General features: G+C 40.6%; 2 protein-coding genes and 1 non-coding gene across 12 annotated transcripts in view, besides 3 other annotated features; 2 read left to right on the top strand and 1 right to left on the bottom strand.

Moving 5' to 3' along the window:
• PFKFB2 (6-phosphofructo-2-kinase/fructose-2,6-biphosphatase 2) overlaps positions 1 to 24,338 on the bottom strand; it is a 46,612-nt gene extending 22,274 nt beyond the window's left edge. For 2 of the 8 annotated variants that reach the window (XM_024447657.2, XM_024447654.2), the window contains exons 1-2: positions 5,547 to 5,714; positions 3,952 to 4,053 (exon numbers count right to left, since the gene is read on the bottom strand). In XM_024447657.2, coding sequence (XP_024303425.1) covers positions 3,952 to 4,036 — 85 coding nt within the window. In that variant the 5' untranslated portion in view covers positions 4,037 to 4,053; positions 5,547 to 5,714. Of the gene's footprint in view, positions 1 to 3,951; positions 4,054 to 4,502; positions 5,480 to 5,546; positions 5,715 to 16,541; positions 16,586 to 23,673; positions 23,809 to 24,281 lie in introns of those variants that run through there. The other 6 variants (XM_047422549.1, XM_024447655.2, NM_001018053.2 and 3 more) reach the window with 4 other exon arrangements.
• Positions 5,549 to 6,188: an enhancer, noted in NCBI's record as "H3K27ac-H3K4me1 hESC enhancer chr1:207225911-207226550 (GRCh37/hg19 assembly coordinates)". NCBI's record gives its function as "activates a minimal SCP1, AML or CMV promoter by ChIP-STARR-seq in primed H9 embryonic stem cells {active_cell/tissue: H9 hESC(primed)}" and the evidence as "EXISTENCE:reporter gene assay evidence [ECO:0000049][PMID:30033119]".
• YOD1 (YOD1 deubiquitinase) lies at positions 5,638 to 14,905 on the top strand. 3 transcript variants are annotated; one of them, XM_047424447.1, is made up of 4 exons: positions 5,638 to 5,708; positions 6,431 to 6,569; positions 7,907 to 8,066; positions 9,031 to 14,905. In XM_047424447.1, exons 2-4 carry the CDS (start codon positions 6,519 to 6,521, stop codon positions 9,732 to 9,734), a joined length of 915 nt encoding a protein of 304 aa, XP_047280403.1. In that variant the 5' UTR covers positions 5,638 to 5,708; positions 6,431 to 6,518; the 3' UTR covers positions 9,735 to 14,905. The 3 variants fall into 3 exon arrangements, with proteins under 3 accessions (XP_047280403.1, NP_001263249.1, NP_061036.3); NM_001276320.2 differs by having other exon boundaries at positions 5,638 to 5,890; NM_018566.4 differs by lacking the exons at positions 5,638 to 5,708; positions 6,431 to 6,569 and having other exon boundaries at positions 7,546 to 8,066.
• Positions 7,412 to 7,982: an enhancer, noted in NCBI's record as "NANOG-H3K27ac-H3K4me1 hESC enhancer chr1:207224117-207224687 (GRCh37/hg19 assembly coordinates)". NCBI's record gives its function as "activates a minimal SCP1, AML or CMV promoter by ChIP-STARR-seq in primed H9 embryonic stem cells {active_cell/tissue: H9 hESC(primed)}" and the evidence as "EXISTENCE:reporter gene assay evidence [ECO:0000049][PMID:30033119]".
• Positions 18,936 to 19,230: a silencer, noted in NCBI's record as "tiled region #4428; HepG2 Repressive non-DNase unmatched - State 7:EnhWF, and K562 Repressive DNase matched - State 5:Enh". NCBI's record gives its function as "represses a minimal TATA promoter and a strong SV40 promoter by Sharpr-MPRA in HepG2 and K562 cells {active_cell/tissue: HepG2 | K562}" and the evidence as "EXISTENCE:reporter gene assay evidence [ECO:0000049][PMID:27701403]".
• Positions 19,954 to 20,060, top strand: LOC124904826 (small nucleolar RNA U13). Its single transcript, XR_007067422.1, has one exon. It is a non-coding gene; the product is annotated as a small nucleolar RNA U13 (small nucleolar RNA).
• Positions 24,339 to 25,972: the final 1,634 nt, after the last annotated feature.

Genomic DNA, 25,972 nt, shown 5'->3' with positions numbered 1-25,972 from the left:
GGAGGCCAAGTTGGGTGGATCGCCTGAACCCAGGAGTTTGAGACCAGCCTTGGCAACATGGTGAAACACTATCTCTACTAAAAATATAAAAATTAGCCAGTCTCATAACCCGGTCTCAAAATAAATAAATAAATGTATTTTAAAAAAAAGATTTACAAAAAAAATGAGGACTTGATAACTTCCCTCGTGTAAATGGAAAAACTCAAGCCTGGAGAAATTAAGAGCTTTGCCCATGGTCCCACAATAGACAGTCAAGGTCAGGGTTCTGACCAGTCTCCTGATCTCATGACTGCCCATTCAGTCCCAGCTGCCAGCTCCTGTGCCTCATGTCAGCACTTGACAAAGGTTCCCTCACGGTAAACACAACTTGCTCTCCATTCTAATCCTGAAGGATGGTCTAGGAGAGCAATGGTTCCCAGCCTTTTCAGGACCCAGGACGTCTTCTTTTATTGGCTCTAAAGAGGCCTAATATTTAGAAATATGCTGCCCATAAAGCATGTTTCATTAGTGACATTTTATCTTTATTCATCAGAAGTCAGAACTGCTGATTATCTCCTGCCAGTTGACAGGCATGAAATAACCAAGTTCGTATAACTACGGTCAAACACTAAGAAAGCTGATGTTTCAGTTAACCACTATGGCTATAGTTGATGCTGCCCAATTTCCATCAAATATCTTAAAATATTGAAAACAGCTTACAATATAGAACTTCTTAGGAGAGCAAATTAGTAATACTGATGAACATTTCCAATGTGTCTATCTTTTCTATTATTTCTGTAGGAAAAGTTGCTGTCACAAATGTGCAAAGGTGTACGTGTAAGAATGGTCACTGCAGCACTCTTTGTGATGATGAAAAACTGGAAACAATTTAAATACCTATCCGTGGAAAGCTGGCATATCCATACAATGCAGAATGAGGTAAATCTGCATTTATCAACATTAAAAGGATGTCCACAAGACAGTAACTTATTTAAAAAAATAAAAAAGGAAATGGCAGCTGAACAGAATATGAACAATATGAACCTACCTTTATTAATAGGATATACCAGAATAAGATGTCTAAAAGAATCAAATTTGGAAGAAACAGGAGTCTTTTACTTTTCGCTTTCTAAATCCTTTCTGTAGTTTGAATTTTTTATGAACATACATTGCTTTTGTATTTAGGGAAAGGTACATGGAAGAATTTGTCTGTTCCAGAACTACTCAAAAAAAAAAATTAAAAAGAAAAAAAAAAAGCATGTAGATTTCTCCATTTCTGCTTTTTTTTTTTCCCCCTGAGATGGAGTCTCACTTTGTCACCCAGGCTGTAGTGCAGTGGCGCGATCTCGGCTCACTGCAAGCTCCGCCTCCCGGGTTCAAGCCATTCTCCTGCCTCAGCTTCCCGAGTAGCTGGGACTACAGGCGCCCGCCACCATGCCCGGCTAGTTTTTTTTTTTTTTTTTTTTTTTTTTGTAGTTTTTTTGTATTTTTAGTAGAGACGGGGTTTCACCATGTTAGCCAGGATGGTCTTGATCTCCTGACCTCATGATCCACCCTCCTCGGCCTCCCAAAGTGCTGGGATTACAGGCGTGAGCCACCACACCCGGCCCTCCATTTCTGCTTTCATAAGCCCTGAAACCAGTCCTCTGAGCACCGTAAAGGCACCTCGGCCAGTAGCCCCTCTTCGCCCCATCCCTGGAGCAGTTGAAGTCCCAGTAATGCTCCTTCGGAGGTTTTGGCTCCCTAAAGTCATTCTTCAGCCCTGAAATCCTCAAGCCCAGTCACTTCCCGGAGTCAAAGTTAGCCAACACAGGTGTAATGAGCAGCAAGGGAACAACGGTTAAGCTATTAATAAAGCAGCCGCTGATGTGAACACTAAGCTGCCAGGTGAACCAGCTCCAAAGTACAGCTCTATAGCAGAGGAAAAGGAAGTAAGTTAACACATATACTCATAACTTTATTTTCTCCTTTGACTATGTCTGCAACAGTCTCACAGCCCGACTGTGACGTGAGGAGAGAATAGGGTAAATAAATCACAGTGGCTTTAGGACACCTTCTTCTTCTTAGAGAAGAAAAAGGCATTTAGAGAAACTAGAGTATGGAAAAAAAGAGATTAGAGCCCAGAGCAGGAATTAGAGTCTAGAAGACAGGAAAGAAACCAGGGATTACTGCTTCCCTGACTTGAAAGCCCTCAAGGCAAAGGAACTACAGAAGAGTTAGGAAAGCAGGTAGAAGAGATTCCTACCATGGAGAAAAAAGCAAAGCTAGAAGGACTGACACATGGCATCGTGTAGTCAGAGACTCCCACAATTATCGATCCTGCCCCCCAGCCCCAGCTCTCTTTTGGATCAAGCACCCTAGTAACATTAGTGTACCTCCCTGTAAGAGGTGCATCCTAGATCCCCAAATCTGGGTTACAATATTGTCAAATAAGAGAAGAAAACATTTTTTACTGAAAAAATAATTATTCACAGCCCTCTTTTAAATAGTGAGCTTCCAATACAGCATTTGAGTATGATTCAATATAAACATTTCAGGAATAAATACAACAGGCAGATTGAGTCACCTGTGAAAAATAACACACATTAGATATATGCCCAACACTCTTCTAAGCGCCTTCCTACATTTAGTCATTTAATCCTCACATCACTCTTGGGGGAGACACTGTTAGTATTCCCACTTTTAAAAGGAGTAAACTGAGGCATGGAGAGAACAAGCAACTTGTTCAAGAGCTAAGAAGTCATAAACCCGGGATTCAAACTCAGGCAGTCTGACTCCAGAGGCTATACTCAAACATCATGCTATACTAGTTATCTCTCATGGGGTATTCTGCCCTTAGCACCTGGCTTCTTGCCCTGGCAGAGAAAAGAGACCCTAATTGTAGACCCTAACTCTGCCAACCCCAGTATCACATCCAGCCAGCTGCTTCTGTCCAGCAGGCTCCATGGGTGCTAGGTGAAGAGAGATTATCATTGTCAATCATGAAACTGACAAGGGCATGACATCAAGGTCGAGGCTCTGGGAAAAGCTTTGAACATGAGATAATTCCTGGTCTCATGCTGGTCGGCTGTTTCCACCTGCTGAGATATATATATTCCTTGACTAACTGGCTATATATATATATATATATATAACCACTGAAGTGAGAAGAACTGACTGACAGGATTCTGCAGGAATGGTGCCATCCAGAAGCAGAGGCAAGAGTTAGCATTCCTTGAAGTTCCCCAAAATATGTGGGGAACAGAGTCCCAGATCTTTTGGGAAGCTATGCAGCCTATGATGCTTAGAAATACAGATGCTTGGGGACAGGAAATGATGCTTCATCTCCTCGCAAACCCTCCTGCTGTTTCTATCTAAAAGACAGGCATAGAAATGAAAATGCTCATGTGAAAGCTGTCCTCAAAAAAATGAACCTATAGGGAAAATAGTTTACAAAGTACAAAGGCTAAACCTGTGAGAAAGTAAGATGCCCAAGACACTGTGAGAAGCCAAGTGTCAGGGCTCATTCCCCTCAGGCCTGTAGGAAGGAAACCAAGCAGCACTGGCTCCCATCTGCAATTTCTACAATGAGCAGCACTCTCCCAAAACTTAGCCCAACAGATAAAGCTGGTAACATTACCAGCTCCAAGTAATTCCTGCACCTGCAACTGTGCCTTACTCATTGTGTGTACAATAATGTTAGTTCTAACTTCCATCAGCAAGCCAGTGTGCAAACATCCCAGGAGACAGAGATTCAGTTTAAGAAAGCAGTAAGAAACTGCTGGACTACACCAGTAGTCAAGCCCCAAGAACAGACATTTCACTAAGTCTACTTGTTTTAGACAGGACATTCTACCCTGGAGACTTTGCATTAAATTTCCATGTCAAATAATTATTTATCACTCCCACCAAGCAGCAGAGTCCAGGATTATAACTATATTCCCAAGATAAAATGCTGAGAGAGAGCAGTCCCTCCTCTCTGCCAGAACTCACAACATTTCTTCTCTGACATTCGAAGATTTGGGGTTTTGGTTTCATAGCTGTTGTTGTTCTGTTCTGAGGAAGATGCCCCAGACATGGCAGCTCTTCAGATGTCTGAAACAGAGAAGTAGAATGTAAAAAAGGGAAGGGGAAGAAAGAAGACATAACTTAAAAAAAGTCAGTGCATTGGATCCGTGTGGTATAAGTAAAAACACCCTGGGCCAAGAGGCAGGTTCAGTCCTGTTTCTCCCAGTTAGCAGCTACTTCTCTAGCCCTCTGTTTCCTCACCTATAAAAAGAGTTGCACTAGAACCTTACATTTATCTTCTGACTTACGAGTCTACATTTACAGACGTTATCTTCTTCAGTCCTAACAATAATCTTGTAATTAGGCAGATTTTGCCACCATTATTTCTTCTCATTTTACAGATTGAAAATTTGAGATTCATCGAATTAAGTGTCCTGCTCAAGGTTTCATGACCTCAGATTCTAGTTTTAAGAATCTGGGCAGAGTAGTGGCAGCAGTTGGGGTGGGGTGGGTTATGTATAGACGAAGTACATTACCAGGAAATTAACTCCAATCTAACGGTAGGACTCAGTTTTGCAAACAGTGAGGCCGGGCACGGTGGCTCACTCCTGGAATTCCAACACTTGGGGAGGCTGAGGCGGGCGGATCAAGAGGTCAAGAGATAGAGACCATCCTGGCCAACATGGTGAAACCTCGTCTCTACTAAAAATACAAAAATTAGCCGGGCCTGGTGGTGCGCGCCTGTAGTCCCAGCTACTCGGGAGGCTGAGGCAGGAGAATCGCTTGAACCCGGGAGGCGGAGGTTGCAGTGAGCCAAGATCCCGCCACTGCACTCCAGCCTAGCGACAGAGCGAGACTCTGTCAAAAAAAAAAAAAAAAAAAATGAAAAATGAAAAAGAAAGAAAGAAAAGAAAAAAGTGAGGGACGTGGGAAAATCTCGAACATATTCCCTGAAGGAAAAACAGTAACTGGACCCCAAGACAGCCCTAGCACGTCGTCATTTCTCCTCTAGTGCATTCTCAAGCCCTGCTCCGCACCCTCTCCCTAGTTACCCCCGGGACTCAGTCTAAAGAACGCCGGAGCGCTGAGGTGGTAAATGACTTCCCCAAGGTCACCTCAGGAAGAGGGGTAAGCCCTGATTCAAACTGGAGTGGGAAAGTCCTGAGCTCATGCCCCCAATTCAGACAACAGGGGGCTGGTGAGGACGGAAGATCCTGCGCCTTCAAGAGCCTTACACGATTCCTTTACTGACCACACAAATCCTCCAACCCAAACACAGACTGTGGCTCCCGGTCCCAGAACGTCCGCGCTGCCTGCCATGCCTGGGGACCAGCACCTCTCCCCGCACTTCATCCGGGGGCACGCAGCCCCCACATCCCGCCCCGCTAGACCCTACCCGGGGCTGCGCAGCTGTGGCTCACCCTACGATCTCTCCTAAGATCCCTCCCTGCCTTGGCCCCGGCGCCTGCCCTGTAACGCGACCGAACCGAGCCGACAGCTTGTGGCCGGGACCGGCGCTACAGTCGCCGGCAAATCATGTGAGCCCGTCTGGCCCCGCCCCCTCGCGCGTAGGTCCTCACCTGGAGAGAATCATCCACCAATCGGGCGCCTGCAGGACCCAGGGGGCGGGGCAGGGTCGCAATCGCCTAACTGGCTCGGGAAGGCGGCTGGAAGTCGGAACCAGAGAGATCACAAGCTCCTGAGTTTCCCAGCGCCGAGGAGCCTGGTGGCACTGTTGCTTGGTAACTAATAGGGCTGGGGGCGGTGTTAATAAAAAGCTTGACTTTTTTCTGACTCTCGCGAGAGTAGACTATTCGGTAGGCGTCTTGAGAGCGGGTGTGCCGGGTGACGAGAAAATGCTGCAAAGATTAACGCTCTCATTCCTGAATCCCAGCAGAACCTCATTAGATCCATAAATGGGAACGTAAGCTTTAAAGATGTTTTTGCTAGAATAAACTACCACAACACTTGAGCTAATTATGCCTTAGGGTGTATACATACCCGGCTCCACAGGTCAGACGCTGTGACCTAAGAAAATCAACCACTCTCATCGTTGAACCAGAAGCTTCCCTGGACCCACCCATACACCCCATTGGAGTTTTTTTTGTTTTGGTTTGGTTTGGTTTTTGTTTTTTGAGATGGAGTTTTGCTCTTGTTGCCCAGGCTGGAGTGCAATGGCACGACCTTGGCACCGCAACTTTTGCCTCCCGTGTTCAAGCGATTCTCCTGCCTCCCAGTATCTAGAATTAAAGGCATGGACCACCACGCCCAGCTAATTTTGTATTTTTAGTAGAGACGGGGTTTCTCCATATTGATGAGGCTGGTCTCGAACTTCTGACCTCGGGTGATTCACCCGCCTCGGCCTCCCAAAGTGCTGGGATTACAGGTGTGAGCCACTGCGCCCGGCCACCCCGGTGGACTTCTAACCACTCCTACCTTCCCTCCTACCTACCCCCTAACCCAGGCTGTATCATCCGTTGCAGTCGTCTTGAAGAACCAAGGAGGAAAATTGCACCAGCAAAAAAAAATTGAGTCATGAAAGATGTGAAAAGATGGAAACATTACATATAATTTATTCAGAAGCAAAGTCTTTTACAGTGGAGGTGAGTTTGCACCAAGTGAACTACACTTTTCATAGTTGCCCCAGCGGGCCCGTTTGATGCTTGATAAACCCACTCTTGGCAAGTGGGACTTGCTGTCTGAATCCCGGCTGGATAAAGAACAATGAGTATGGATTTCTTGGAAAAGAGAGATATAAATTCAGGGATGTCTTTATTCCTCCTTCGCCTGGGAATTAAACTAATTCTTCCAAAAGTTCAAACAGTTATCTCCTCTTTAAGGCTTTTTACAACTCCCAGAGTGCTCTAGTTGCCCTCTCTATGTCTATACAACTCTGTCTTTATTCATTCAGCCAGTATTTGTTGAACACTTTTTATTTGCGAGGCACAGTCCTGGGTTCTAGGCATACACGTTTGAAAAGGTACAGATAATCTAGCATTATCACGTTGCTTTGAAATTCAGTGGCTGTGTGTCTCACACCCCACCCTGTCTCCCAACTGCAATGAATACTTGTTACAATGAAGGCAGGAATGAAGTCTTCATATTTGTATGCCCAGGAACTGAACTGGAATCTGATGACACGCGTTACACGACTCCTCCTTACACTGCCACCACCTGAATGAGGCAGCTGCCCTGGGCCCAGATGCTGACCTCATACTGTGCTTTCTGAAGTGGCAAATAGACGTTTTCAAGCACAGTCCCAGGGAGGCAGAAAGGCCAGTCTTTTGGCCCCTGGAACCCCAATGAGTCAATGTTTAATGCAGCCACGAGTCTAGTCACAAGTGTGATTGTTTTTGACTGGTCCTTTGACTCACTGACCATTCCTGGCATTCGTTTGCGTTGTGAACTATGATTCTGTTTCTCCTGGTGTAGTCTGGGTGTAGTGTGGAAGCCCCAATTTAATAATTTCCGACCTCACTAAGTGCAAGGTCACATTCCAATCTCCAGACCTTCATTCAGGAACTCCTTCCCCCGCCCTCTTTTCTTGAGCATATATGCTACCCACGCGGAGGGCACCTCACTCGCTCTATAGGTAGCAAGACCCGTTGTCCTTTAGGAATACGGAGGTTTACATCTTCGTTCTGAGGGTGGGGGAAAAATCAGTTGTCACTTTAAAAGAGTTCGCGCTTGCTAAGGTACTAAGGCAGAAGCCGCACCGAAGCGTCGCGATAACTGCAACCACCCGCAACTTCTCGCGATGTTTGGCCCCGCTAAAGGTCGCCATTTTGGAGTCCACCCGGCGCCTGGTTTCCCCGGCGGCGTCTCCCAACAGGCTGCCGGGACCAAAGCTGGCCCCGCGGGTGCCTGGCCTGTGGGCAGCCGGACCGACACGATGTGGCGGCTCCGCTGCAAGGCCAAGGACGGCACCCATGTTTTGCAGGGGCTGTCCAGCCGGACCCGGGTGCGGGAACTCCAGGGCCAAATTGCCGCCATCACCGGGATCGCCCCCGGCGGTCAGCGAATCCTCGTCGGATACCCTCCCGAGTGCCTGGATCTCAGCAATGGGGATACCATTCTGGAAGACTTGCCCATCCAATCTGGTAAGGAATCAGGGCTGGGGCCAGGGAAAGTCCCGGGAGGATGGAGAGGGGCGTGAGAGAGAACAAAACACCAGTCAAGGCAAGGTGGCTGTGAGTCGGCGGGGGGGCTTTGAGGCCAGGGGCGAGGATAGATCAAAGAACAGAGAATGCTGACGGGGGCCAGGGCAAGTGTCTAGCAACTCCTTGTCTTGACACAGGGTTGAAAGGGAACCCAAAGCCTTGAAGACCCCCTTCCCCATTCCGCTTTCTGGTCGGCTTTGAAACTATCCCATTTTGTTTTCCCTCGGCGTCCACAAAAATATAAAGTAGGGCCTATTTTCTCTGTCCTTATGTCTCTTTTTCCCTATATCACCGATGAGATCTCAAGGGTGCAGGATTTTTTTTTTCTTGATTCATTTTTGCAGTCCCCTTCGTAGATACTTCGTTTGACAGGCATACTCATTTTCGAGTTAGCTTTTAAAACACCCACTGAAAGCTCTTTCAATTTCTAACCAGCAGCAGTTATTTCTGTGCCATATCAAAACTTGAACATCAGTGTTTATAATTAAAAGCTTTCAGTTGCTGTATCAAGGATGTTGTAAACACTCTAGAGTAGATAAGTTTCCGGAGAAGGAGAACCCCCTAGCGGCCTACTCTGTAGTGAGCACCTTCTGTAAAATACTGTATAAGGAAAGGAAATTTTGTTTTTGAAATGTATCTTTTTAGGTAAGCTTGAAGTTGTTTACTCCAGACCCCTTCACTAAATTGGGATGCAACCTCAAGTGTTTTTTGTTCTTTTTTCATCTTTATGAAAATTCAGTGAACAAAGATTCTTACTGGTAACTTACTTGCAAAACTGTATTCTCCTTAGTAACCCCAGTTTATGCTTTAACTCCTTCAGTTTGTAATTTACAGACTTGGCTAGAGAACACTCGGTTTCTTCTGTAATTTCTTTGCAGATCGGGATTTGTTTTATTTTTAACAGGTGACATGCTGATCATTGAAGAAGACCAAACCAGGCCCAGAAGTTCACCTGCATTTACTAAACGTGGTGCTTCTAGTTACGTCAGGGAAACTTTGCCTGTGCTTACCAGAACCGTGGTCCCAGCAGACAACTCTTGCCTCTTTACTAGTGTGTACTATGTCGTCGAAGGAGGAGTCTTGAATCCAGCTTGTGCCCCTGAGATGAGACGCCTCATAGCACAAATTGTAGCAAGCGATCCAGACTTCTATAGTGAGGCAATACTGGGAAAAACAAATCAAGAGTACTGTGACTGGATCAAAAGGGATGACACTTGGGGAGGAGCAATAGAGATATCGATTTTGTCCAAGTTTTACCAATGTGAAATATGTGTAGTGGATACACAGACAGTAAGAATTGATCGTTTTGGGGAAGATGCAGGATATACCAAAAGGGTTCTGCTTATTTATGATGGCATCCACTATGATCCACTTCAGCGTAACTTCCCTGATCCAGATACACCTCCTCTGACCATTTTCTCCTCTAATGATGATATTGTTCTTGTACAAGCACTGGAATTAGCAGATGAAGCTAGAAGAAGGAGACAGTTTACTGATGTCAACCGCTTCACCCTGAGATGCATGGTATGTCAGAAAGGATTAACTGGACAAGCAGAAGCAAGGGAACATGCCAAGGAGACAGGCCATACCAACTTTGGAGAAGTGTGACCTATGCATGAATGAGGGTTGAAGCCTACTACCTCACACATCCAGAAGGCTCTGGGTTTTCCAATAAGCTATGGTAACCCTAAAGAACAAAGGATACAATGCTTGAACCATCCTTTTAACTTAAAACCACTAAGACACTGAAATTCCTTGTTAAGATTAAAATTAGTGTGCAAGTTTACAGATGTGTGTCTACAGTGGTAAACTGTACATACATGCCTCTTTCTGCTGGAGTGACAGAATAGGTGATCCTTGCCACCTACTGACACTGACCTGAAGGTTGAGATTGAGTATTATAAACTAGCACCCAGCAGCTTTAACTTGTAGAAGAAAGCATCACATTTTGGGTAATGTGGAAGGCCTCCTGTGAGTCCACTGGGCATACGATTGAGATTGAGTATTATAAACTAGCACCCAGCAGCTTTAACTTGTAGAAGAAAGCATCACATTTTGGGTAATGTGGAAGGCCTCCTGTGAGTCCACTGGACATTTACCACAGTGTCTCCAGTAACTGAGTCTTTTTAAAAACTCTGAATGAGTTAAGTTTCTAAATTATGAATTGATTCATCAAATGAAGATACTCAGAATTGTCCAAACTGATTTTATATTGCAATTTGGTAGACATTATAAATGTGTGCTTAACCACTGATAAGTACATCACAAGCAATTTTTACAGGGATGAGTCTCATCCTTGAGAATGTTATCACAAAACAGGAACTGATTGTGCCCTGTTTAAGATCTCTAGCATATAAAACGTAGAATGTATGAGGGAATAGGTGCCTGAGCAGCTTCCTGAAGCTTTAAAAGACCGTTGGCCTCGTGTTTTAATGCAATTCATGTATTGGTCTTTGTCACATTGGATAACATTTTAAAGTTAAGCAGGGTACTTTTTTAATTGAAATTCCTTGAAATTCGAGTCCTCAGTTTTTTCTTCATTTGCGTAAAGTTTATCGGGGGGAATTTAATTTTCTCAGCTTTTTGTTAAGAGCACTTCCTCCAAAAAATTTTTTTCAAGTAATAATGCTCTGCTTTGGGTTGGTTTTTGTAAGATTTTTTGCACACCTAAAGAGTGTTTGCTTTTGTGCTAGCCTTATCCCTCCACTAAAGTTATTTTAAATAATTTCACATTTCTGCAAATTAGCACTTTGCTTATCTGCAATCTTTTACTTTGATTTTTGAAGTTTTAAAGCAATTGGAGTAATACTGTTGAATGAACTAGTTTCACTTCCAAAATAGAAAAAATTGTAAATCCTTGCCTTATGCAGCTTTCTCAGAATTCTGCTTCTTCCTAGTACTAGATGTGTAGCCATTTGCTTAGTGGACTAATCCGCAAGGCACACCCTCTAAAACTTAGCTTCACTACAAGATCTTCCAGATAAAAGTTTTCTACCTCTTTTCTTAATTATTCTGATCAGGGATGCTAAATTATAATTTGTTATGTATTATCTCACATAATGTGAAGAGGCTTAATGTGAAGTTTTGTTATTTTGGTCTCTTTTTTATTAAGTATCTCACTTAGAAATTCAGTGGTATACTTTAAAGCACTTGGATCTTTTTCAGCATATCTGCCTAGCAAATGTTTTAAAATTGACATTTATTTTTAGCACTTTCACTTGGTGAAGGTGGCCATATAAAATTAAGGAACATTTGAACAATATAAGAGAAAAGAACTTTTAAGGAACAATTCACAAAGTTTGTTTGAAATTGTCAGATGACATTTCTTGAGTACCTTTTGTGTGCATAGTTATTTTAGACAATATAAGCTGTTATGGTCAGCATAACTTAAAAGTGTTTAGTTTTCTATTTTACTGAGCCTTAAAAATAGCACTGATGAGCTTATGATACTTAATGTTTGGCAATCATAATGTGTTCAAATTAATGGGATTGAAAATCTCTCCACACCTGACTCTCATCTGATCTGGATGGTTTTGGTTTTGTATCTTTTTTACTTCTCCCAGAAAATACTAAATTTAAAACTGTAAATTAAGAATATACCACTAGATAACAATTATCAAATTGAGCTTTATGCATCATTACTCAGAAAGCTTGCCTTCCTTTCTTTGCTACTTCAGGACACAGAGTTGACATTTGCTTACTACAGCTTTAGATCTAGAAGTTTATTCGTGCAACAAATATTTATTGAGTAATTTATACTGTGCCAGGCATGTTTTGATATGTTTCTGTCATATGTTTTGATATGTTCCAACATAAGTTTCTGTCACTTTATATTCAGTATATATTTTCTACAGTGGGTAAATTTAACAAATGGAAAGGAATAGAACACTGATATTTTACAGAATTAAACCCCTTCATTGTAAGGGCTTTGTTTACATATTAAGTGTCAAGTATTTATTCAGGGGATCTTATTTCATTGTATTTTATCTGTTATCTAGGTTGTCCATTTACCGGTTGGACACTGATACTCTGTCAAATTCCTTTCAAAAATGACTCTTTAGTCTGCTGAAATTTAGCACTAGTACTTTAGTGTTCTGATCCTGGAAAATTCAAGGTGAAGCTTTATTTGTGGACCATCTGATTTAATTATTGAGGATTAAAAACCTAAACCTTTGCTCATTCTAAACTCAAGCTTTTAAGCCTCACAGAATTTACAGGGGTTTGCTTTTTGTTTGTTTGTTTTTTCATTTTTTACTGTGCTTATTAAACTCTTGGAATTAGTTATTAAAGGGAGTAAATTCTCATCTTGGGAATTTTGAAAATCTATGGACTTACAACTTTCAGGAGGATTAAATGTCTTAAGTTTTGTACTAGAGCAGAATGAAATCTTTCCTATTCATTGAGTTTTTGCCTGCCATAGAGGAATTTTTTTAAAAATTAAAATGACAGTTTATATTAGTGGCAAAGTGAATAAAGACCTCACTTTCCCACCCCACCCTTCTTCCTTTCTCTTACTTTTCTTTGGATTAAAGGTCAGGTGTAGTACTATGAAGATTCACTCCTGAATAAAGTGATTTCAGAAGCTAAAATTTAACATACCTGGAAATTTTGTGATGTGTTAGCCAAGTGAAGACATTAGTGTGTTCCATCTTTTGCTAATGGTTCATGGTTGATTTCTTCATTGTTTCCCATGAAATTAGCATAGTCAAGTGGTACCCTTGACGCTTGACTGCTGGTCAGTTTGACCCTGTTTTTAACAACTAATGTAGTCATGCCGCTTGATTATTCCATGAAGTCCCAGCAAAATAATAATGAGGAATTAACTAACATTATGTTATCTATCTAATTTGTCTGTGTCCCTAAATGCCCATGCCTAACTTGCTTCTCTAGTTTATTCCTTCTGTGGAGGGATTAAAACGTGGGTGTTGCAAGTTGCCCTAAGCTAAACATAGTTTTCTTACATCTTTTTGGGAAAAAAAATGGAATGGGAAGTATGCAAGATTAAGCAAGAGTGATTTTTTTTTTTTTTTGACAAATCAGGTGGCCTTCCTAAACATACTAAGAATTATGTTCTTTCATGTGTGGAGACACATTTGTTTGCAGCACTTTAAAAAATATATATGGAATAAAAGTTTACATGTTGGCCCTCTAGGGATCTAATTAAGGACATTAAAGTACAATTCTTGAGCTACTAACCATCAGCTCTTCTTAATCAAAGATTGCCATCAGTGTAGAGTGTATCTATTGGCACAACATTCTGGTGTTTTGATAACAGTAGAACTCAATTTCAGTAACTATTAGGAGCATGGTCTGTGCCCTAGCATTAAAAATGTTACTTATTATTATGTGAATATCTTGTATTATTATACAATGCAGTATTCAAATTTGTCCTTGTAGTGCAGAGATGACTGATAATTTCTAAAAGATTCGATCCTTAAAACTTGTTTCCAAGCAGACTTATAAGGAAGCTGATTTTTGAGTCAGAGGCCTTAAACGTGTCATATACAAGTGGCATCATTTTAAGTCCAAAGTGAAACACTTGATTTGAATAAGCTAGTTTATAAACTAAAGCTGTTTTCTTATGTTACAGTATTTCAGCACATTTCATTCCACATAAAAAGAATATTAAGTGTCCCTGGTTGTGGGAGAGTGTTTATTTTTCTCAAAATTATCTAGCATTTTGCTTACAGTGCTTTGAATGTTTGACTTAAAATTATTATTGATGTTGAATTGTAGGGTGCTGATTTAGGTCTTGATTCATACACATTTAAAGGAGGTTGGTAACCCCCTCATGGTAGAGTGAAGGGAGAAAAGGGCCAAGAAGACAAAGTACCACTGATAAAGAAGAGATTGTCAAATAGATGCATTCCTAGTCATGAATTACCCTTTTCCAAACATTTTTAAAGCAATGCCTTTGTGTCAACTCAACCCTTCTTCCCCATTTCTTGTCATAGAATGTAGCATGGCCATAGGTGAAAAAGCTTATCATTAAAGTATGAAACCATGAATTATAAGCATTTTGCCATGATGCCCTTTTATACATATGTTTTTAAAAGTACTAACCAACATATAGGAGTTTAGGAATGGTGAAGATATAATTTGATTAAGTTGTAGGTAAACAGAAAGGATCATCTTAGGCTCAGAATTTCTAATATGATTACATGAGTCTACTTTATAAACTGGTATAGGCTATGTAATTAGCCCGTAAGTTACTTAAAGGACCAGGGGACCTAATTTTTGTCAGTTTTCCAGTCACATTGGTGCCATTCAGGACTCCAGCTGTTTACAGGAAATATGTACTTAGCAGAATAGTATTTTTCCTTGAAAAAAATTTGAATTCAGCCTAAATACAGAATGAATATGAATAGTTTGTGAAAAGGGTTAGAGAACAACAATATTCCTATAGTTTCTGTATTAATGCAGTAGAGACAGAGGTTCCTAACGCAAAAAGAAAACCACAAGTAAAGACCGTCAAATTAGAGCTTTAGAATATGACTTGAAAAAGTAGGGATGGGCAAAACAGCATAAGAAAATATTTTTTCTTAATGCAGATGGACAGTGTTTTCTTGTTTTAAAAATGTTTTGCCTATTTGCCAGCATTTTTTGAAGTAATACACTGCTGCTACCTGGAAGATGTCTAACTTCATTTTCTACAACTCTTATGTGATTTTGCCATTGTCATTAAGATGCATTGATTTTATTTATGAGGTGTATGACTTTAAATATCTAAATGCTGTATTAAGTGACTTGTTTCAAAGGAATAAATGAAGTGAAAACGTTGTTTGAGTATATTTTGGGATCAGGGCAGATATGGCCACTGAACGGCTATTTTACTCAATATACATATTATCAAAAGCTTACCGAATCTTTAACTAAGGTACCAAAATCTGCCAAATATCACCCTTTAGGCGGACTCAATGAATGAGACAGGAGAAACTAAGGTATTTCTCCTTAACGAAAGGTTGAAATTCCCATTCATTGACTAAATTTTTTTCTAAATCCAATCCTACAAGTTGTAATTCAATATTTGTTGCTGACAAGTTGTCAGTGTGGAAAGGCTTAATATTTATTTTCTAATAGACTGCAATCTTTGTGAACTTAGATCTGTTTGAAAACAGCAACATCACTATAGGAGGGTTTATTTCATCTTTGGCAATGTCAACATTTAAACATGTATTTGAAGCAACCCTGTGGCTATTACAATTGGCCAGAGTTCAGGTTCCCTAACTAAACTAAACTATTTAACCCATTCTTTCTCATTGAAAGCTTTAAAATTATGGACGTGGAAGTATAATAATATCTAATCAGTTTGTACAGCAGCATAAAATATATTTCTGGGGGTCAGTGTACATCCAACATAAGAATAAGTCAAGCCAAACTTCACATTACAAGGTTCATAAAGAATCGGTTGGGTTGTGTGATGGAAGCTTATTGAATGATTAATTGTGCCCATAAAGCAATGCTTCCCAAAGTTGGTCATCACATTACCTGGGAACTTGTTAGAAATGCAAGTGCTCAGAAGGACATCAGAAATTGGTGAGACCCAACAATCAATTTTAGTAAGCCCACCAGGCGATTCTGATGCATGATTTAAAAAAAAAAAAAAAAGTTTGGGAATCGTGGCTATCACCATGGTGGTTTAAATGAACCATTAATCAACTTGCGAGAGATCTCTTATGGCTTATACCAGTTTTATGTCCTTAGCCTCATGCAATTCATTTTCACTCACCACTTACAGTTATTAAGTTTACAGATAATGTAAATCCAGAGAAGATTTGTAGAACAATGAATGACAATTCAAAAATCTCAACAAGCCAAAAAATCCTAACGTTGAATATTCCTAAATGTGAAGTCCTGCCCTTGAATTCTAAACAATCCATTATGTGAGTTCAGCATGAGGGAAAACCTGGCTTTATAGTTGGTTTGACAAAAGACGAAGCAATGGTACTTAATTCTAATTCTGATCCGAATAGAGTACTATGGCTTAGGTTGCAAAAATAGCTGCATTTTAATACTTGAAAGAGCAGGAAAAAGGAAGCAATAGTCTTTTTTTTTTTTTTTTTTTTTTTTTTTTTTTTGTGAGACAGAGTGTTGCTGTGTCGCCCAGGCTGCAGCGTAGTGGGGTGATCTCGGCTCACTGCAAGCTCCGCCTGCCAGGTTCACACCATTCTCTGGCCTCAGCCTCCCAAGTAGCTGGGACTACAGGCGCCCACCACCACGCCCAGCTAATTTTTCGTATTTTTAGTAGGAATGGGGTTTCACCACGTTAGCCAGGATGGTCTTGATCTCCTGACCTCGTGAACTGCCCGCCTCAGCCTCCCCAAGTGCTGGAATTACAGACGTGAGCCACTGCGCCTGGCCGCAATAGTCTTAATGTTGGTCATGTTGCATTGGAGGTTTGGATGTGGGTTTTACCTGTAAAATGTGGTGAAAAACAGGTTTGATGGCCGTCTTGGAGGCTGAAGAAATGAGGGGGAAAAGAAGAGATTGACATGTTAGCTAACTTCAAATTTTGGGACATGTATAAAAGATGAATTAGATTTATTCTCTGAGGCCCTAGAGGAAAGAACTCAGACTAAAAAAGGATAGATATTGTTGCAAAGTAAACTTACATTAAAAACCTAACAAGAATGAAAATGAAAGCTATCAAAATACATTAGTAATGGAGGTAGTCTTTTGCATGAGAAATAGTGCTAGAAGTCATTAGGTCCCTATCATCTTAAAATCTGTTTTACAGATGCTAGAGAGAATGTGGAGAAATAGGCACGTGTTACACTGTTGGTGGGAGTGTAAATTAGTTCAACCATTGTGGAAAACAGTGTGGCGATTCCTCAAGGATCTAGAACTAGAAATACCATTTGACCCAACAATCCCATTACTGAGTATATACCAAAAGGATTTAAATCATTCTGCTATAAAGACACATGCACACATATGTTTATTGCAGCACTGTTCACAATAGCAAAGACTTGGAACCAACCCAAACGCCCATCAATGATAGATTGGATAAAGAAATGTGGCACATATACACCATGGAATACTATGCAGCCATAGAAAAGAATGAGTTCACGTCCTTTGCAGGGACATGGATGAAGCTGGAAACCATCATTCTCAGCAAACTAACACAGGAACAGAAAACCAAACACTGCATGTTCTCACTCATAAGTGGGAGTTGAACAATGAGAACATATGGGCACAGGGAAGGGAACATCACACATTGGGGCCTGTCAGTGGGGTGGGGTGTAAGAGGAGGGATAGCATTAGGAGAAATACCTAATGTAGATGACGGGTTCATGGGTGCAGCAAACCACCATGGCACATGTATACCTATGTAACAAAACTGCACGTTCTGCACATGTATCCCAGAACTTAAAGTATAATTAAAAAAAAAAAAAAATCTGGCCAGGCGCGGTGGCTCATGCCTGTAATCCCAGCTTTTTGGGAGGCCGAGGCAGGGCAGATCACGAGGTCAGGAGATCGAGACCATCCTGGCTAACACGGTGAAACCCTGTCTCTACTAAAAATACAAAAAGTAGCCGGGCGTGGTGGCGGGCGCCTGTAGTCCCAGCTACTTGGGAGGTTGAGGCAGGAGAATGGCGTGAACCTGGGAGGCGGAGCTTGCAGTGAGCCGAGATAGCGCCACTGCACTCCAGCCTAGGCGACAGAGCGAGACTCTTGTCTCAAAAAAAAAAAAAAAAAAAAAATCTGTTTTAAATGCTAGTTATAACTACAAAAAGTAAAACGTAGTTTTTTTCTGTCCTCTTTACCATCCCATTAGAGCTTAGAAAAAGAGTGGCTTGTGCTCTTAGTTATGTGGCGAAGGCTACAAAGCAGGACATGTATTTGGCAAAGTGTATACTTACTGGATGGTAAGTATCTATGCTTATCTTATATCTTTAAGCCTGAATGAGACATTCAAGAACAGAAAAGCAGGCATTTCAAATATATTTTCTATTTTGTTTTGACTTGGATTGTCTTTGTCTCTATTTTGTTTATAAATTTTGAGGATGTTTACCAGACGAAAACAAGACACAAACATATTCCCCTAAGCCCACTGAAACTTTTATGATTTCCTCATAAAATGAATTCAAGAATTCCTAAGAAACTATTAATAGCTCTCAAAGAATGAATAGCCTTCTCTCTCTTTGCTTTAGTAGCTGCCACTCTTTTAACTTCTCTGCCCTTCTGACCTAGAATTCCTTCCATACACGAAGTGAAGTTTTCTGATCTTATTCCTGTGGCATTTCTCTGTATTCACTTGGAGGACTTCATTAGTGAATCTTGAGGTATTGGAGCAGATGTCATAATGACTTGGCCATGTTCTAAAACCCTAAAGATGGCCCTGTTGAATCACTGCAATAAGCCGAAAAGCTATTAATCTGGAGTTGTTTGGAGTTGCTGCTGACTCAGGAGTCAGGTTTGAAATCAATACCGAAGTTAAGTACAAAATGTAGACAAAATTATTCCCAATAACCCTTACCTATCTCACTGAGTGTATAGACATCACCATAACTTGTAAGTCCAACACAGCTAGTCCCCACGCCAGTGCTGGAAGAGGTCATGCTCACTCCTATGGTGCAGCTCTCTGAGGTCCCAACCTGCAGTGAGTGTGGCTCACTAGAGCACATTAATTGGTGGACCCTGAACTCTGATGCCTGTTCTCCTTGTTCTCTTAAGCTGTCAGAAGTACCACTCAGCCTCTCAGCATCTCAGCCACCCATTTTGGAACAGACAAATGTCTCCAGAGGAAAAGTGGCTGGCCTCAAATGTTGGACACAACACACCAGACCTATCCTCACCTTGATCCAGGCCTGTGTCCTTAGTGCCTGCCAAATTCTTCACTATCTTTTTGGCTCTACACTGCAAACAGCAGGAGAGTTTGTCTGAATTACCCAGTCCAGCATTCCTGGAAGTGGAAGTCCTCAGCAGCACCTTTCCTAAGATAATCAAGAAACAACTACCATAAAAGCGTGGGGTTTTTTTTTAAAACATGTAATCTTGGAAATATCAGGTATGAAACAAATGATGTAATAATTTTTCTGTCAACAATGGAGGAAAGAAGGGTTTCGTAAGAATTTGTCAGGGTTTATTTAGAACTGTCCAATAGGAAAAGTCACTTTATCAAGTAACCATAAATATTTTTCTAACACAGTTCATTTCCATTCTGTCGGATATTTATATTGAATTAAATGGAAATGTCCTTTTTATGGAATAAGAATCTATTTTTAGAGTCTGTTATGTAGGACATTTCATAAAATTACTATTCCTAATTATGGACAAAATTTTACAGTTACTGGAATTCCAAACTTTCTTCCACTATGACTTAACTGTTTTGTATTGGGGTTGATAACTCTTTCTCTAATGAATTTTATTGGATTGAATTACCTCTCCTAGAGTGTTAATATTATGGAGTACATTGATCAATTTGAGTTTTTAAACCTACAAAACTAAGGAGCAGATTTTGCATTATGTTGACATACTGCCAAAGTTACCCTCTCATTAGGTTCATCCTTTAACATCCAAAGATCTAGCCTTGTTTTTCTTACTCTTACAATGAAGATCAAGAAAATGATCTTGAATTTGGCTAGGAAAAGCTAAGGTAATAACTTATCTCGGAAAATTGTTAAATGGTTTAACAAATCCTCATTGAGCTTTTACTTATTGCAAAATATGGTGTCAAATACCTCAAGATTGCAATAATATTAATTCATTTAATAAACATTTCTGAATGCTAATGTCATACCAGGAACTTCCCTAGGTGGTGGGTATAATTTGGAGGGAAAGAAAAAACAACACTACAAAGAAATAAAAATACAAGTGCTATGAGATCCTTTTGTAGTTCATAAGTGTGATGATTGGGGTTTTGCACTTATGTGTGGGATGTGATGACTCTCTCAAACCTTGTTATGACATCAGCACATTACCTGTCTGATGTGAAAAATAAATACAGATGCTATGAAAAGAATAATTGGGTGGGAGAATCGAATTAAAATTGGTGAATCTGGGAAAGACTTTGAGAAGATGACATTTAAGCTGAAATCTGAAGCATGAATAAGAACTAATCAGTTGAAAAATAAAATCATTTCAAATAGAGGGTACAGCATTTGCAAACATGATGTTGCAGAAGGAAATGAAATATTTTTCAGACCAGTCTGGTCACAGTATGATAAACAGGAGAAGGGGACATGAAATAAAGTATTAGAAGCAGGCAAGGATCCAGATTTGCAGCATCTATAAGCTATATTAAGCATTTCCTCGAATTCATATTTAACAGGCTTTATTTGCTTATTTTATGTTTGTGCTCATAATTACTTTGTAAACTCCACAAGGGCAGGAACTAGTTGTGACTTTTGTTATTGCTGTATTCCTAACACCTAATAAGGGGCTGGATCTACAATAGACATTCGATATATAGTTGAATGAATGAACATGTGAATGAATAAAGTCAATGAAGTTTATTCCTGTAAAGGAATAAAGTTATCCTAAGATCATTGGGAGGATATTCAAGCATTTTAAGGAAGGCATCAGATTGATGTTCCTCAAAATTTACTGTAACTGCCCTGTGGAGAAGAGATTGAAGAGGGCGGAGTGGAAGTGGAGTACCAGTGAGGAGGAGGCTACTACAGTAACATATGGAAGTGATGACGGTGAGCATTATCATAGTTAGCATTTACTGAGTGCTCACAGTATACTCAGCACTCTTCATGTATTATCTCATGTAATCTTTACAATAACTCTATAAGTTATGTGCTATTATTATCATCTCTATTTTATAGATATGATTACTGAGAATTATAAAGTTTAAACTGCCTCAAGGACAAACAGCTAATAAGTGGATGATGGCTTGGGCCATGTAGATGTCAAGAGAAGAGGATAGATGTAATATATAATTTAGAGATAGGATCTCCAAGAATTGGTGATGTGGAATAATATTTACTCAATCAACTGGTAGGAAAAAGTGACATTTACTGATTCATGGAAGATGAAGGGGGGAAGTATTTGGAGAGAATAGAGAAGAAAAGAGTTAAGACATGTTAAGTTTGAGATGTTTGTGAATCATGTGAAAGCAGAGATCATGTAGGCATCTACAGGTCTGAAGTTCAAAAGATATATCTAAAGACAAAGACCTAAATTTTGGACTTGTTGACCTATAGATAAAAGCTGTGTGGATGGAAGAGAGAAGGTAGAGAGAGTGTATATAGGGAGGAAGACTCAGCACCAAGCTGCAAGTAACTCCCAACATTTAAGGAGCCAGGTAAGGGAAGAAGAACTAGCATTTAAAAGTTAGTTGAAGAAAGAGCCACCAAGGATAACTGAGGGTTCAGGAGAGATTAGAGAAGCAAGAGAACTTTATGTCATGGAATTCAAGAGAAAATAGTTTTTTAAAAAAACTGAAAGTGGCCAGCTGTGTTGGATGTTATAGAAAGACAAGATAGAGAAGAATTCAAACAGTCTATAGGATTTGGCAAACTGGAGTTCATTGATGACCTTAGCATGAGCTGTTTTAGGGGAGTCAAGGAGAAAGTAGCCAGATAGAAATGAGTTGAAGAGTAAATAGGGATGTCTGGTTAAAGATAACAAGTTGAACATATTCACTAACCTCCACTCTCCCAAAACTTCAGTAAAATGATAGTAATGGAATTACACTCAAGGACAAAGAGATAGTGGGGTAAATAATAGCAACAACATTTCGGAAGTTAGTGAGCTGCTAACTTTCAAGTAATTTTTAACAAATTAGTTAACAAGCAGTTGGATGTGTGGTAACTGACAGCAGATTTTAAAAAGCTGATGGGAATTATTTTAGGAGAAAGGTCAAAATGATGATGCAGGAGAGAAGGTTACAGGGATAGAGTTGGTGAAATGAGATTCAGAGCACACACAATGGATGACAGGATTTTATAGGAAAAACATGGTTTTTGTTGTTGTTGTACTGACAGGAAAAAAGAAGAAAATGGGTGCAGAGGAAGTTAGGTTTGTAAATTTGGGGATGGGAATGTGGCATTCCTGCCTCTTGACTACTGTTGTCATACTGAAGCTTTCAAAATTGGTGACAAAGTTGTTATATGAAAATGGAGTGAAAGAGAGGTAGACAGTTTATGGAGAGAGAAAAAGAGTGGTCTCAGAAAATGGGAAATCCAGCTTCCTAGAGAAAAGTAGTAATTGCCTGAAGTATAAAGTACCCATTTGAGGTTGTTACTCATGAAGTTATAGTGGTACTAATCTGCCTGTTATGCGATCAACATAAAGATGTTAGTGACTCAAAGGAATCCAGTAACACCAAATCAAAAGCAAGAGCAGGAAATGCTGACATGTGGAGTCAACCATTAAATGTGACATTTCTGGGAACCAAGACACCAGCAGGTAGGAGACAAGTGGTTACAGTCTATTCAGTCTGCCATGCTTAGAGTTTTTGCCATGTGATATAGTGTGAATGTTCTGTCCCCTCCAAATCTCATGTTGAAATGTGACCTCCAAAGTTGGAGGTGGACCTAGTGGGAGGCGTTTGGGTCATGGGGGCAGATCCCTCATGAATGTCTTGGTGCTGTCCTTTTGTAATGAGTAAGTTCTAAGTTCTCACATGAGATCATGCCCAGCCAAACCCCTTTTCCGTATCAATTACTAGGTCTCAGGTATTCCTTTACACCAATGCAAACAGACTAACGTACTATGTGATAAGTGTATGTTCCATGGCCCTGTCTATTGTTAATAATGAGTCATTATAGCAAATAAAATAAATATTAATAAATGTATACTGAGTACGCATGTTAGCACCTCCTTCCTCTCTCTTGCTCCCTGTCTCACCGTGTGACACTGCCTGCTCTCCCTTTGCCTGCTGTTACGATTGTAAGCTTCCTGAGACTCTTACCAGAAGCTTAGCAGATGCTAGCACCATGCCTGTACAGCCTGTAGAATCATGAGCAAAACAAACCTCTTTTCTTTTTTTGTTTTTTTTGTTTGTTTGTTTGTTTGTTTTTAAGACAGGGTCTTGCTCTGTCACCAAGGCTGGAGTGCAGTGTCATAATCATGGCTCACTGCAGCCTTGATCTCCCGGTCTCAAGCCATCCTTTCGCCTCACCCCACGAGCACCTGGGACTGCAGGTGCGCACTGCCATACCTGGCTAATTTTTGTACTTTTAGTAGAGACAGGGTTTTGCCATGTTGCCCAGGCTGGTCTCCAACTCCTGAGCTCAAGCAATCCCCCTGCCTTGGCCATCCAAAGTGCTGGAATTACAGGCATGAGCCACCATGCCAGCCAAACCTCTTTTCTTTATAAATTACTAGGTCTCAGGTATTCCTTTATAGCAATGCAAATGGACTAACACACCTTGCATGTGCACTTAGAGGGAAGGGAGGTGCCTAAGTGGGGAGGTTGTACTGAGAAAGGAAATCATAAACTAGCCTCTGACAGTCAAAGAGATGACCACAACAGCATGCAAGAATGGAGAAGGAGAGAACAGATGAGTCAGGTGAGCTGGGCTGTAATTAGTTTCCACAGAGTCTGGTCATCAAACAGGCATTTACATACTAAGAGCAATGACACACATACCCCCTCAAATGATGACCTATATCAACCAGGAAGTCTTATTCTTTCAGGCTTTTGACTGACTTTGGAAATCCTCCCTTTTCTGTAGTCCAGGCCTCCTTTCCAACTCTCTTGGAATGTTAGAGACTTGGTATATTTCTAAGCAAAAATAAAACAAAGCAAAAACAATATGAATTCCAGGGAAAACATTTAAGTACATGGAGAATGGAAAAAAGAAAATTTGAAATAGTGATTTATTTCAGCTAGGACATATATGTGTTTGCAGGGAGGGGAGGCTCAAGGCTTGTAAGTAACTTCGACTGTGATGTTTATGTTTTATTTCCTGAACTGGATGTTAGGTACGGTTATGTTTGTTATGTCAGTGTATCTGAAATATTTCATAATTTACAAAAAGAAAAAGTTTTTGAGAGGAAAGGGAGGAAGGGAAAGATGATTTTTGTCTATGTCCCTGCTTCTACCTGGTAAAAGATAGGGGTTCCTCCTAGTTATCCTAATTTTATTATAACTGAAAAACTGTGTCTGTTCACAAATAAGACTGTTGCCTACTATCCTCTTGGAAGTTAATTCTCATAAGTCAATTCATTTTTTTAGCAAATGTTCAAATCACACACCTATGGAGCTGGATCAACTTCATTGACTTCATCCATGGGTGTGACTCTGGTTGCACTGAACTGCTGATTTGGAGATGCCCTTCCTGTTTTGTTAGTATTATGACATCATATATGTTTGAATGACACACCAGGGAAAGAGGTCATAGCCCGAAGTGCTCATTCAGCTGTGATATCCATAGGCTGCTGATAGGGTACTGGGTTATCCCAGGCTTCCTCCAACCTCCTTCCTATCCATTAGTCCTGCTCCACTTCATCTTTACCTTGGCCCCAGGATCACTGCCCTTTTTATTTCCTATCCAACCATGATCACAGAAAGAGAAAAGATGAAAGCCATGTGTCGTCTTGTTATAAAACATATTAATAGCTTTAAGTAGGAAATGAAACAGAAAAGGACGAATCTAATAGCTAGAATTACACTTGCAAATTATCTGTGTATTTCATGATTCCCACTTGAGATTCCTTCCAAAATAGAGGCGGATTGGCATTATGCTGATTCATAGCAACCTTGATGTTATACTGCCTGAATTAAAATCTCTGCCCTGCCTCTTCCTAGCTACATGGCCTTGAAAAAGATTTTTAACCTCCCTGTAAAATTTAGATATTAACAAATGCCTACTTTTTTAAGTTAAAGACTAAATTAAAAGATACATGAAAATGCTCAGCACAATACCTAGCAAATAGCAAGAGCTTAATACATTTTGGCAATTATTGTGTACATTGATTTTAAATTTTCTCCCTGACCTTTTAATGCTAGTAAGTGGAATACCTCAAATCCTGATACCTATCAAGGATAATCTACCTGTAGGAAAAACCAGCTTCCAGGCAAAAATCATATCTGTTAAGAGTGGTCTCTGTACCTGGTGGGAAATTTCTTCCCAAAAATAGTAGATTCTTCTACCTACTCTCTTCTCCCTACGAATGCCAAGTATCAGTCCATGAAAGGAGACAAGAGTTGCTAAACTGGTTGGTAGTTTGTTTTGTTTTTATTTCATAATATGTATTGCCACCTTCCATGAACAGCCAAAAGAGAGCAGAGGACCAAATGACAGAGTGCATGCTCTCTCCTTTCAAGCTGTCCAGTCACTCTTTCATCAGGACACGGACCTCTTAGGGGATGAATGGTTTTATTTCCCCCAGAAATAAATTAGGCCAAGGAGATTGTTGGCAAGCACTGGGGCGAGACTGGCCCAACTACAGCATCCCTAGCCTGGGGACACCTTCTTCAGTGGACATGAATGGAATTGCTAGGCTTATGAGCTAGGATTAGGCTTGGGGAAGAAAGTGACTTTCAACATCTAGAAAAGCTAGCAGCAAAACTGAACACAAATGAGTTTAGCCTAGAGAATTCAGGGGAAAACTAAGCTCCAAGCGGAAGAAGGTAGTTCTAGATGAAAAACCTGTTTCACATAGACCTATGGAAAAGCACACTGCCCAGAGGACTGTCTGCGTTCCTTTATATCAACATTAAATATATATACTATCTCTGCCTACTCCCTCCCTGCCACCTGTCCTTCCAGTCTCAGCCCAAACCGGCTCCTCCTCCTTCCAGCCCTCCTTTTTTAAAGAGCTCTTTATTAGCTCTAAACAGGAAAGGGGAGGGTAGGAGATGATTGGCTAAGAGGGAACAGCACCACCCTGCTCATTCCCCTCCCATTCCCTCCCTGAGGAAACAGCTGGAATGAGAGGTAGGG

Source organism: Homo sapiens, chromosome 1 (assembly GCF_000001405.40).
Source record: "Homo sapiens chromosome 1, GRCh38.p14 Primary Assembly".
Lineage (NCBI taxonomy): Eukaryota > Metazoa > Chordata > Mammalia > Primates > Hominidae > Homo > Homo sapiens.
This window is presented reverse-complemented; position numbering and strand designations above follow the sequence as displayed.